This window comes from Homo sapiens, chromosome 12 (assembly GCF_000001405.40).
Source record: "Homo sapiens chromosome 12, GRCh38.p14 Primary Assembly".
Taxonomy (NCBI): domain Eukaryota; kingdom Metazoa; phylum Chordata; class Mammalia; order Primates; family Hominidae; genus Homo; species Homo sapiens.
In genome coordinates, this window is record NC_000012.12 from 117,093,236 (window position 1) to 117,104,807 (window position 11,572).

Below are 11,572 nucleotides of genomic sequence, written 5' to 3' on the forward strand. Positions count from 1 at the left end.
TGAATGAGCCGAGGCCACCGTCTGAGGCCACTTAAAGACTTTAGAACCAAGAAGTATTACCCAGGGGCGAGAACGCAGTGGAGAAACCAGCGCCACCCCCACCAGCCACGCTTGGCTACGCCAGTCCTCCCTGCCATCTCTAGCTCCTTCTCCAAATGAGATTAGACCAGGAATGGAATCCGACTCTCTTTTTTTCTTTGGAGACAGTCTCGCACTGTCACCCAAGCTGGAGTGCAGTGGCACCAACTCCTGGGCTCAGGCGAACCCCCTGCCTTGGCCTCCCAAAGTGCTGGGATTACAAGCATGAGCCACCGCACCAGCCTGCGACTCTACTTCTCATTATGATGCCTGTGGCCTTGGGCAGGCACCTCCTCTCTTGAGCCTCAATGTCTGCATCTGTAAAATGGGAAACCAACCGTGTTCCTGGGAGGATTCCATCAGCTACTGCGGATACGCTGCCTGGCTCAGCTGAACGTGTGGCAGATGCCACGCGCCCGAGAAACATTAGCTCTTACCATCATGAGGTCTGAACTCTAGGTCTGGAGATTTTTTTTTTTTTTTTCCTTTTCCTTCTGGCAGCTTCTTGGCATCAACATAGACATGCCTGAAGAGCTGTTTTGGAGCCTGAAGGAAAAAACAGACCCTCCACCTTTCCCAGAATCCTCTGTCTTATTATTTCCTTTCCAACTCCAGGAGCAGACACGGATGGGGGGGACAGGAAGTGGGGCCAGCTCAAGGTGGTGAAGGACAACTGACTCAGGTGAATAATTCCCAAGAAGCCCTTCTCTCCGTCAGGTCCCACTTTGTACCTCGGTCCACACACCAGACACCACTTGGCTGCTGTCACCACGGGTGCGTGGGGAAGGTGAGCTCAATCACACCCCCGGGACGCCTTCGCTCGGGCTTTTCATATGAATCTTAACAATCTAGATGTGAGCCTTCTTGGCTCAGAAAAGATTCCTGGGAATACTCGTTTCCGGTTTAAATCAATCAATGAGACTCTAACAGGCAGGGAGAAGGAAGGTGGGCACGCAGACCTGATGATGCCCTGTGTGGCAAGCTGCTGCTCAGGCATATTTTTGGTGGGGCTGGGGAGATGCTGGGAGGGTTGGCAGCCGAGGACAGCTGGTGAGGGTGGCACTGGGTTTTCCAGTGGCTGCCTGTTCCTGAACAATACACCTTGAGTTTTAAAGTCCCCAGGGACTGTGCCCCTTTAACGTGAGCCTCTTATGCTCTCACTGAACCACCAAGTGCATACAAAGGTGAACAAGACACGTTCTTTCTGCTCTAGGGAGCTCCAAGTTTCGAAGGGGTGGCAGGTGACAGAGTTGACAAGTATAACATGGTGTGATGCCTGCTATTGCGGGCTCCAGGAGCGCTGAGGATGGGTGTTTAACCCTTAAAGGTCGGATGGAGAGATGGCTTTCTGGATGGGAGCAGCAGGTAAGCCAACCCCTGAACAATAATGAGCATTCGTTTCATAAAGAGACAGGGTTAACGCTGTGCGCGGTGGCTCACACCTGTAATCCCAGCACTTTGGGAGGCAGAGGCAGGCGGATCACTTAAGGTCAGGAGTTTCAGACCAGCCTGGCCGACATGGTGAAACCCTGTCTCTACTAAAAATACAAAAATTAGCCGAGCATGGTGGCGGGCACCTGTAATCCCAGCTACTCACGAGGCTGAGGCAGGAGAATTGCTTGAACCCAGGAGGCAGAGGTTTCAGTGAGCTGAGATCGCGCCACTGCACTCCAGCTTGGGCAACAAGAGTGAAAATTCATCTCAAAAAAAAAAAAAAAGAGAGAGAGACAAGGTTAAGAGGAAAGGTTTGAGTTTGTTTTTTCTTGTTTTTGTTTTTTGTGAGATGGAGTTCACTCTGTCGCCCAGGCTGGAGTACAGTGGCATGCTCTCAGCTCACCGCAACCTCCGCCACCCAGGTTCAAGCGATTCTCCGACCTCAGCCTCCCGAGTAGCTGGGATTACAGGCGTCTGCCACCGCGCACAGCTAATTTTTGTAGTTTTAGTAGAGACAGGGTTTCACTATCTTGGCCAGGCTGGTCTTGAACTCCTGACCTCATGATCTACCTGCCTTGGCCTCCCAAAGTGCTGGGATTATAGGCGTGAGCCACCACGCCCGGCCTAGACCTTACCCTGGGTGGAGACAGAGAAAGGCTCCCGTACGTAAACACCTGATTGTACACATCAAATGAAAACAGTGCTCCAGGCAGAGGAACAGCTTTTGTGCAAAGGCCTGAAGGTGAGAAAAAATACGGGAGTCTTTTCCTATCCCTTCTTGGTTCCTAGAAATTCAAGTGGCAGCTACACACAGTGAAAGCATGCTGGCAGTAAGAAAGCAGTCTTGGGGCCAGGCATGGTGGCTCATGCCTGTAACTCCAGCGCTTTCAAGAGGCTGAAGTGGGAGGATCACTTTGAGGCCAGGAATTTGAGACTAGTCTGATCAACATGGCAAGACCCCTGTCTCTACAGAAAAATTTAAAATTAGCTGGTGTGGTGGCGCACACCTGCAGTCATAGCTACTGGGAAGGCTGAGGTGGGAGGATCGCTGGAGCCCAGGAGTTCGAGGTTGCAGTGAGCTTGATCATGCCCCTTGCACTCCAGCCTGGGTGAGAGAGCAAGACCCTGCCTCAAAAACTAAAAATTAAAAAAAACTGTAAAAAAAGAAAGTAGGCTTGGGGATCCCATGATCTCCAACTCCTCCACTTAGCAGCTGTGGGACTGCAGGCAAGCTGGTTTACCTCTCTAAGCCTCAGTTTCCTCACCTGTAAAATGGCCCTAACACTGCCTTCCTGGGGGATCATTACTATAAAGAGTGTTATGCAGAGAGCACCAGCGTGGAGCCTGATGCTCAGCAGGTGCTTGGGGAATTATGTTCATTATCACCAGCCTCAGCCTGACCTTCTGGTCCTTTCTGGATGGTGTTCTCAGAAAGGGACCAAGCTGATTCCTCCCCAGAAAGTCAGGGGTCATCTTGGTCCTCAGGGAGGCGGGGGAGTCAGCAGCCCTGTGGGCTCAGTCTGTCCTCTGGCCACCTTACCCTGAGGCTTTTCTCCCTTTTTCTCAGGGAAGATTCCCAAGGGAATGGCCTTGGAGGAAGGGCCCTGCCTGACCCACTGGGTCTCTGGGAGCTGACGTTCCCATGCCAAGCCGATCGTCTCGCACGTAACCTTATCAAATCCACACAATGACTTCAGGATCCAGGTGGGGGTACTGAGGCTCAGAGAAGTAAGATGACTTGCCCAAGGTCATGTAGCTCAGAGAGGTGGGACCAAGACTCAACTCTCAGCTATGGCTCGGAGCGACCAGGACATACAAGAGTGTTTAAAGCATGGTCAATAACAAACCATGTACATGTGTTTGGTCTAACTACTTCATGTATATTAACTCAATCCTTCCCAACAACTTCAAGGGAGGTACTATGACTATGCCCATTTTATAGTAGATAAAACTGAGGCTCAGAGAGCATAAGTGACTTGCCCAAGGTACCTGGCAAGGCCCCTGAAGCCAGGCTCCTGCCACAGCCTGAGCCCTGACGACAGCTGTGTCCTCATCTCATGCATTCTTATTTACTGTTGCTGGCTTGTCCCTGCCACAGGGCCTCTGCATTCGACGTCCCCTCGGCCCGAGATGCCCTTTCCACTGATTTGCACACCCCTGGCTCATTCTTACTTGGATTTCTGTTCCATTATCACCTCCTCAGGGAGGACCTCCGGATCCACCCTAAAGCTCCATTCTCATGCCACCCTGCTATGCCTCGTTCACAGTTTAACACCTGTCGGGCGTTTTGTTTACTGTGTGTCCCCCTCCAGGAACAGCAGCCTCTCCGAGTCATCTCTAAATCCCCAGCCCCTGGTCTATAAATATTTGCTAAGTGGGCAAAAGTGACCGAATTACGCAGTCCCTTTCGGAGGACTGGGGGCAACTTTCCACCTACCTAAAGTTCCACCTGCCTACTCTAGTCTAACCTCAGAACCTCCTCTCCGACCCTCTCCATCTCCCTTGGGTTATGAAGTCTGAGCTCTGGGCAGCAAGAAGGGAAGCCGCTGCAGCTACATCTAGGAAGGTTACAGAGCAGGAACACAGCATCTGTCATCCCAGTGGGAGGCTGGACCCAGGAAACTGACAAGACTCCCAGCATGCTCTGCAGCCCCTCCTCCCTGTCAAACCCACAACCAGGTGGAATTCCCGAGTGCCCCGTGGGCTGCCGGAGAGCCCACCCTTCCAACGGGGATCCCAGCCACAGAGAATGCCCATCGACACCCATCCAGATTCAAAGCAGTGGGAGGCGAGGAGAGGGCACATGAGAAATAATAAAAGCAGAGGAGACCCAAGCAAGTAAGAGCTAGAGGAATCCCTCCTTTCTCTCTCATATTAGTCTTCGGATTGAAGTGCATAAAACTTTTTGAGTAAGTAAAATATCCAACATAGTTCAAAATGAACATATAAAAACGTTTACGGAGAAAAAGCTCACTCTCCCTTCATCCCTTCCACTCCCCCCGCAACCCCCACCAAGCATCCATTCGTACTTTCTGGTGGATTCTTCCAGTCTGCAAATATAGCAATTACAAATGTATACTCTTATTTTCCCCTCTTTTTACATTTTCTATTTCTTTTTACTTTGCGGCTCCAGCTCAAAGGATCCTTTTTTAAAAAACAGAAAAAAGGGTACCATATTATATATGCTGAGCCACACCTTTTACTTCTTTAGTTGGATATTTCTATATCTCTACACACACAGAGATACAGATATAGACGTATAAGTGCGTGCATACACACACCAGTTATTAATGGTTTTCTGCAATTTTCATCCAGTTCTCCTGGAAAGGGGTATTTAGATTGGGGGTCAAGAGGGGTTGCTTTTCAGCTGACACACAAACAGCTGGGCCACCCTCTCTTGGTGATCAATACTGGACGCTGGTTCTCTGCACTTGAAGCAGGTGCCAGGAGCTAGCTCTTTCCCAAAATATCTGCAGCTCCCATTTCCTGAGCGTCTACCAGGTACTAGGAGAACTCTTACAACAGAGAAGGAAAGCTGAGAATCAGAGAGGTAAAGTGACTAGCCCAAGGTCACACAGCCAGGAAGTGCAGCTGGCAGGGTTCACAGCCGGTCTGTCGCTCGCCAAAGCCGGTTTGCCCACACACCTGGCCCCCGCGGTCTCCAGTCCACACCCTGGTCCACAGCCAGAGGCAGAACTGGCCATGCCGAGTTCAGGACCCAGGGCCAAGTCCCCAGCCCGGCTGAACTCGGGCAGAGAAGCGCTTTCTCCGCCATTTCCCTGCGGGCAGCTCGGCCAGGCCTCCCAGGGCTCCCCGCCTCCGGGCCGATGCGGGGCGCGCAGCCTTTGCTGGTCCCGGGAGACTCAGCGAACTCAGGGGAGGACGCTGGGCTCCGGGCAAAGTGCTCTGCGGCCGCTGCCTCGCTAAGTCTCCCAGCCACCCGCGGGGATGAGGCTGCCTGAACCCATTTTACAGATGCGAGGACGAAAGCAGGCGCCGGGCGCCGGCTCTCCCGACTAAGGTCACCCGGCCGGGGAGCGTCGGAGACCTGTTCCCACCCAGGTCCGCCGACTTCAAAACTTTCCGCTCTCGCGCTCACGAATGCAAACGACTCTCAGGTGTGGGGCGCGCGCGCCAGCGGGGGTGCCTGAGGGACTTGCCCGCCCGGCCTGAGGCACCTGCCCTGCGCTTGGGAAGCCTGGGCCCCGCTCCCTCCCCGGTCCGCAGTCCCCCGGCCAGGGAGTTCCCGGGCCAGTCCGAAGCTGAGCGGCTGCGGCACTGAGCATCGCCGCGGAGCTCCTCGCCGCAGCCCGCGAGGTGGCCAGCGGGGACCCATTTGAAAGAGGAGGAGACTGAGGCGCAGAGAGGGCCCGCCACTGGCCCAAGGTCACACAGCGCGGCGGCGGGCCGGGGTCCCCAACAGTGGCCGTTCGGAGGTCCCGCCCCGGTCCCCGCGCCGCCCCCCGCGGGTACTCACAGCCGGTCTTGCCCTCGAGCTCCCGCACCTCCTCAGACGCGGAGTGGGCAGCGCCCATGGTGCCCGCGGCGGGGGCCCCGGGGCGCGCGTCCCTCTCAGGCCCCGCACTGGCTTCGGCTGCGCAGCGGCGGGACTGGCCTCGGGTCCGGCCTCGGGTCGGGACGCCGGCGAAGGCTCGGAGCCGCGGGTTCCGCGTGGGGCCGGAGCGGGGCCTCATATAACGGCGGAGGGCGGCGCGCCGCGGTCCTAGCGCACGCCGGTTTCGCGCACTGCGCGGCTAGGGGAGCGCCCCGCCCCGCCCCGGCCCGGAAACCGCCGGGAAGGGGACCCCGGAGCCCACCGCTCTGGAGTCCCCGTTCGTGCAGCAGTGCTCACGTACCTCGTCCCTTCCGCACACCTGCTGGATCTGGAAGGAAGCAGGTGTGAGCAAATTTGGGGGCGTGGGTAGGAGGGGTGGGACCCCTGGGAGGTGCTATGCCCACTCCCAACCCATCCCACCTTACATCCTCCAGATCTTAGGAGGGAAACTCCACTGAGATAGTCAAGGAAGTCAGCGAGCATGAAATAGCTCTATGGAGAACAACAGTAATAATAATCCTATTTGAAAATGCACCATGCGCTTTGGTTTTTTCCAGGAAAGCCCCAGCACCTTCTGAGGTGAACACACCCACGTGGCGGCCCGTGTGGGCCCTGCACAGCCCGGTGGCTGAGAGGCACCTCAAACTGCAGGAGCGGGCTGGGCGCATGGCTCACGCCTGTAATCCCAGCACTTTGGGAGGCCAAGGCGGGCGGATCACTTGAGCTCATGAGTTCGAGACCAGCCTGGCCAACATGGTGAAACCCCGTCTCTACTAAAAACACAAAAATTAGCCAGGCGCGGTGGCACATGCCTGTAATCCCAGCTACTCCGGAGGCTGAGGCAGGAGAATCACTTGCACCTGGGAGGCAGAGGTTGCAGTGAGCTGAGATCTTGCCACTGCACTCCAGCCTGGGCGACAGAGCAAGACTCTGTCTCAAAAAACAAACAAACAAAAAAACAACTGCAGAAGTGGGCCCAGGAGGCTGCATTTGGGACAAACTGCTGGAGAGAAGGCAATGCCGGTGGTCCCCATGCCCATTAGGGAAGTTCTGGGTTAAGATGGCTTGAGGGGTTGGCTCTCCATCCAGTTGGGGTGACTGGGGCCGATGCTGTTGCCTGTGTAATGTGATTCCTCCTCCTTAAAATAAGGATAAGTTAATGAGATGTCCACCAGAGGGCCTGGCGTGGACACAGCACATGGCCACAGAGGCTGGTGGGCGCTATGGAATCTTGTCCCCTGGAGAGGCACACAGCCAGGGCAGAACATCAAGGTCAAGGCTCTCCTGAAGGCTCTGCAGTGCTTAGTGACACCACCATCAATGACCGTCAGGTATCAGGTCTGTTCTGAACGTTAGTCTCGATGATAAATGTTGGGGAGGAAGGGGGACAGGGTAGGGGGCAGGAGTTTTTCGGTGCCCACAGAGGGGACTCGGGTGGACCTACCTCCATCAGTTTCACAGGCTGCTGGGAAGGGGGCTGCTGAGAACTGCTGTTCATTCCTGCAGACTACAGGCTCAAGCCAAGGGTCACAGCCCTTTCCAGGGGCAGGAGGTGACTTTCAGAGCCCGAGGTAGAGGGTGGGAGTTGGTCCTAAAACCTCCTAGAGCATCAGAATCAGCCCCTTCCTGGTTGCAAATCCAGCTTTTGGCCAGGTGCAGTGGCTCATGTCTGTAATCTCACCACTTTGGGAGGCTGAGACAGGAGGATTGAGCCCAGGAGTTTGAGACCAGCCTGGGCAACATAGCAAGACCCCAGCTCTACCAGCAATTAAAACTTTTTAAAAATGAGCTGGGCACAATGGTGTGCGTCTGAAGTCCCAGCTACTTGGGAGGATGAGGCAGAAGGATCGCTTGAGCTCAGGAGTTAGAGGCTGCAGTGAGCTCTGATTGCACCACTGCACTCCAGCCCAGGCAACAGAACGAGACCCTGTCTCTAAAATGGAAAATCCAGCTTCCTCTTCCACTGCCTGTCTGCACTCGTAGAGCTAAGGCAGCACCTGCAATCTGCATTTTAAAGCACTCTCCAGAGGGCAGTGCAAGACCTGATCAAGGTGGAAAGATGTTGGCTGTGGGTCATCAGCTGATCTGAGCCGGCAGGACAGCTGACCTAGGGACTGCATTTTGGTTTAAAGGATTCTGGAAACAGGCAGGCCTCTGGGATCAGGAAAGGATCCCCAATACCCCTGGGAGTTCTGAGCCGCTGAGCCAGCCCATTACGTACAGCTGCTGGGAGCAATTTTATTCCAACTTAAAATGTCAGTTCCTGGAATTTTATTATATTAAACTAGTCAAGGATTAAATGATGGAACTGTCTGATGTGGGGGATAGGAAGTGGCATTCTCTGGACATCAGCCCCTCCTGCTTGGCACAGTTGCTCTGGTGGGGACAAAAGCCCTGGGACAAGGAGAAGGGCACATGGCTTCACATTGTCCCTTGGTGATCTCAAGGAAGCCCCTGGTATCTAGTATGAAGGGAGTCTGTCCTACCCGATCACCTGTCTACCCTGACCCACTGACCGCTGTTAGCTACTAGACAAGCACTTGTACTTGTTCCTTTTGCCTGAAACTCTCTTGCACTCCCGCTTCCTCTTCAGACCTCAGTGGAAACTCACATCCTCAGGGAGGCCTTCTCAGAGTCCTCATCCCCTCTCCTGGGTCCACAGCCAAACAAGCCACCACCACCAGTCAGCAGGGAGCTGGGAGGCGGGAAGTCTTGCTGAGGATGACAGAGGAGGATTTATTCCTAATAGCAGGGCTTGGAGAAGTAATCAGGAGATCCTTGGAGCAGCACGAAGGCAGAAAAAACCAAGGCACAATTTATGCATTCGTTCAATCATTTATTCATTGCACATTTATTGAGCACCTACTATGTTCAGGGCTCTTGCTAGGTCCTGGAGCCACAGCCAGGAATAAGATGCCACCTTCGCTCCTGAAGAACTCCTGGTGGGGTGAGGAGACAGACACACGGGCAGTGACAAAGCAGATGGGTAAACAAGGGCTGACGTGATGGAGCCCACAGAGAGATGGAATGTTCAAACCAGAATGGGCCCCTGGAGAGACTCTGTCATCCCTAAAGCTGAGCTTCAGGAAGTCCAGGACTGTCCCCAACTGTGGTCCCGAAGGGATACAGCAAAGCCAAATTCTTGGTGGACAGATGTCTCTGTGGGGGCCCCTGCAGTGGCACCCACCATCTGCCCGGGCTCTGCCCTCCTCTGGCAATGATGTGCACACCGCAAGGCGCCCTCCACGCAAAGCCAGCTGCTGCCTGTTCCGGGACGTCATGGCTTTCATTCAAACCTACCAATGGCTCTGCAGGCGTCAACAAAGCAAGAAGCAAGAATGAGGTCTGCAGCTTTGCATGGGGTCTGGCCAGGGCTCATTGGATTTTTTGTCTAGAGCCCTGGAAGAGGGGCACCCTGCTGGGGGGCAAGCTTTATCCCCCCCAATAACACAGCATGACTTTTGGAGGACTGGGAAACACTTTAGTCACCAGGCAACTGCGTCTTTTCTCCCAGAGGACCTCCTCCTGGAGGAGCTGATTAAAAGTGGTGACCGCAATTCATATAGCTGGTCCCTGTCAAGCCGCAAAGAGCAGCTGAGCCCAGAGATGGCCAGGATGGTCTTCATTTGGCTCTCCCACCTTCCTGTCATGGAGGGCTATGAAACCATACTTGGGCAAGTTAACCTCTCTCATCCTCAGTTTCCCCATCTGCAAAGTGGCAATTACATTGTGAGGGTTAAATGCAGATTCATATATGTAAGGTGATTCATACATGTGAGGTGATTGTGAAGGTTAAATGCAGATTCATATATGTAAGGTGATTCATACATGTAAGGTGATTGTGAGGGTTAAATGCAGATTCATATATGTAAGGTGATTCATACATGTAAGGTGATTGTGAAGGTTAAATACAGATTCATATATGTAAGGTGATTCATACATGTAAGGTGATTGTGAGGGTTAAATGCAGATTCATATATGTAAGGTGATTCATACATGTAAGGTGATTGTGAGGGTTAAATGCAGATTCATATATGTAAGGTGATTCATACATGTAAGGTGATTGTGAAGGTTAAATGCAGATTCATATATGTCAGGTGATTCATACATGTAAGGTGATTGTGAGGGTTAAATGCAGATTCATATATGTAAGGTGATTCACACATGTAAGGTGATTGTGAAGGTTAAATGCAGATTCATATATGTAAGGTGATCATACATGTAAGGTGACTGTGAAGGTTAAATGCAGATTCATATATGTAACATTGTGAGGGTTAAATGCAGATTCATATATGTCAGGTGATTCATACATGTAAGGTGATTGTGAGGGTTAAATGCAGATTCATATATGTAAGGTGATTCATACATGTAAGGTGATTGTGACGGTTAAATACAGATTCATATATGTAAGGTGATTCATACATGTAAGGTGATTGTGAGGGTTAAATGCAGATTCATATATGTAAGGTGATTCATACATGTAAGGTGATTGTGAGGGTTAAATGCAGATTCATATATGTAAGGTGATTCATACATGTAAGGTGATTGTGAAGGTTAAATGCAGATTCATATATGTCAGGTGATTCATACATGTAAGGTGATTGTGAGGGTTAAATGCAGATTCATATATGTAAGGTGATTCATACATGTAAGGTGATTGTGAAGGTTAAATGCAGATTCATATATGTAAGGTGATCATACATGTAAGGTGACTGTGAAGGTTAAATGCAGATTCATATATGTAACATTGTGAGGGTTAAATGCAGATTCATATATGTAAGGTGATTCATACATGTAAGGTGATTGTGAGGGTTAAATGCAGATTCATATATGTAACATTGTAAGGGTTAAATGCAGATTCATATAGAGAAGGTGCTTAAAACTGCCTGACACCGTAAGTGCTAGCCAGTGGTGAGCTGGTAAACAAGTTCTCTGAAAAGGGCAGGAGGGGCAGAAGTCCTAATCTGTAGCAGTTGCCAATTTCTGTGTGTAAATACTCGTGCCATAGTCAATTTCAAGTTACTGATAATTTAACAATAGGCTTGCAAAATCCCTGAATTTTGTTTTTTTAGATATGGGGTCTCACTATGTTGCTCAGGCTAGCGTCGAACTCCTGGGCTCAGAGGATCCTCCTGCCTCAGCTTTCCAGGTAGCTGCAAATACAGGCATGCGCCACCATGCCCAGCTTAAAATCCCTGAATATTTAACCATTTGCTCTTGCAAGCCAGTCAAGACCAGGAAACTACTACCCAGTTGACTGTCATATGTTCGTTTATTTGTTCATGCATTCACTATTGAGTGCCAGGAGTTTGGACACTACAGTGAAGGAGACAGTCCCTGACCTCAGGGATCCCAAAGTCTGCAAGGAAAGAGATGTGAACAGAACATCATGGTATGCTAGCCGGTACCAGTCACTGCAGGGGCCCGGAGGAGAGGCACCCAGCACATCCGCATTTTATTGATAGAAAAACCAAGATGTTCCCAAAGGATTGTAAACCAGAATCA

At 52.0% G+C, this 11,572-nt stretch overlaps 1 protein-coding gene and 1 long non-coding RNA gene across 7 annotated transcripts in view, besides 6 other annotated features; one reads left to right on the forward strand and one right to left on the reverse strand.

Moving 5' to 3' along the window:
- Nucleotides 1-6,181, reverse strand: part of TESC (tescalcin) — a 60,494-nt gene extending 54,313 nt beyond the window's left edge. For 5 of the 6 annotated variants that reach the window (NR_031766.3, XM_047429044.1, NM_001168325.2 and 2 more), the window contains exon 1: nucleotides 5,990-6,181. Coding sequence is in view for 5 of the 6 variants with exons in the window: in XM_047429044.1 (XP_047285000.1) it covers nucleotides 5,990-6,047 (58 nt within the window). In the remaining variant the exon portion in view is untranslated. Of the gene's footprint in view, nucleotides 1-416; nucleotides 454-5,989 lie in introns of those variants that run through there. The other variant, XM_011538503.1, reaches the window with a different exon arrangement.
- Nucleotides 5,577-5,676: a silencer, noted in NCBI's record as "silent region_4910". NCBI's record gives its function as "represses an Ori minimal core promoter by ATAC-STARR-seq in GM12878 lymphoblastoid cells {active_cell/tissue: GM12878}" and the evidence as "EXISTENCE:reporter gene assay evidence [ECO:0000049][PMID:35858748]".
- Nucleotides 5,747-5,856: a silencer, noted in NCBI's record as "silent region_4911". NCBI's record gives its function as "represses an Ori minimal core promoter by ATAC-STARR-seq in GM12878 lymphoblastoid cells {active_cell/tissue: GM12878}" and the evidence as "EXISTENCE:reporter gene assay evidence [ECO:0000049][PMID:35858748]".
- Nucleotides 5,917-6,436: a silencer, noted in NCBI's record as "silent region_4912". NCBI's record gives its function as "represses an Ori minimal core promoter by ATAC-STARR-seq in GM12878 lymphoblastoid cells {active_cell/tissue: GM12878}" and the evidence as "EXISTENCE:reporter gene assay evidence [ECO:0000049][PMID:35858748]".
- Nucleotides 6,175-6,313: a silencer, noted in NCBI's record as "fragment chr12:117537215-117537353 (GRCh37/hg19 assembly coordinates)". NCBI's record gives its function as "represses an EF-1alpha promoter that drives an FKBP-Casp9 reporter gene in an ReSE screen in K562 erythroleukemia cells {active_cell/tissue: K562}" and the evidence as "EXISTENCE:reporter gene assay evidence [ECO:0000049][PMID:32094911]".
- TESC-AS1 (TESC antisense RNA 1) overlaps nucleotides 6,232-11,572 on the forward strand; it is a 42,023-nt gene continuing 36,682 nt past the window's right edge. Inside the window, exons 1-2 of the long non-coding RNA NR_120464.1 lie at nucleotides 6,232-6,409; nucleotides 7,218-7,405. This is a non-coding gene — a long non-coding RNA (TESC antisense RNA 1). The remainder of the gene's footprint in view (nucleotides 6,410-7,217; nucleotides 7,406-11,572) is intronic.
- Nucleotides 7,180-7,397: a silencer, noted in NCBI's record as "fragment chr12:117538220-117538437 (GRCh37/hg19 assembly coordinates)". NCBI's record gives its function as "represses an EF-1alpha promoter that drives an FKBP-Casp9 reporter gene in an ReSE screen in phorbol 12-myristate 13-acetate-treated (for megakaryocytic differentiation) K562 erythroleukemia cells {active_cell/tissue: K562(+PMA)}" and the evidence as "EXISTENCE:reporter gene assay evidence [ECO:0000049][PMID:32094911]".
- Nucleotides 9,313-9,812: an enhancer, noted in NCBI's record as "H3K4me1 hESC enhancer chr12:117540353-117540852 (GRCh37/hg19 assembly coordinates)". NCBI's record gives its function as "activates a minimal SCP1, AML or CMV promoter by ChIP-STARR-seq in naive H9 embryonic stem cells {active_cell/tissue: H9 hESC(naive)}" and the evidence as "EXISTENCE:reporter gene assay evidence [ECO:0000049][PMID:30033119]".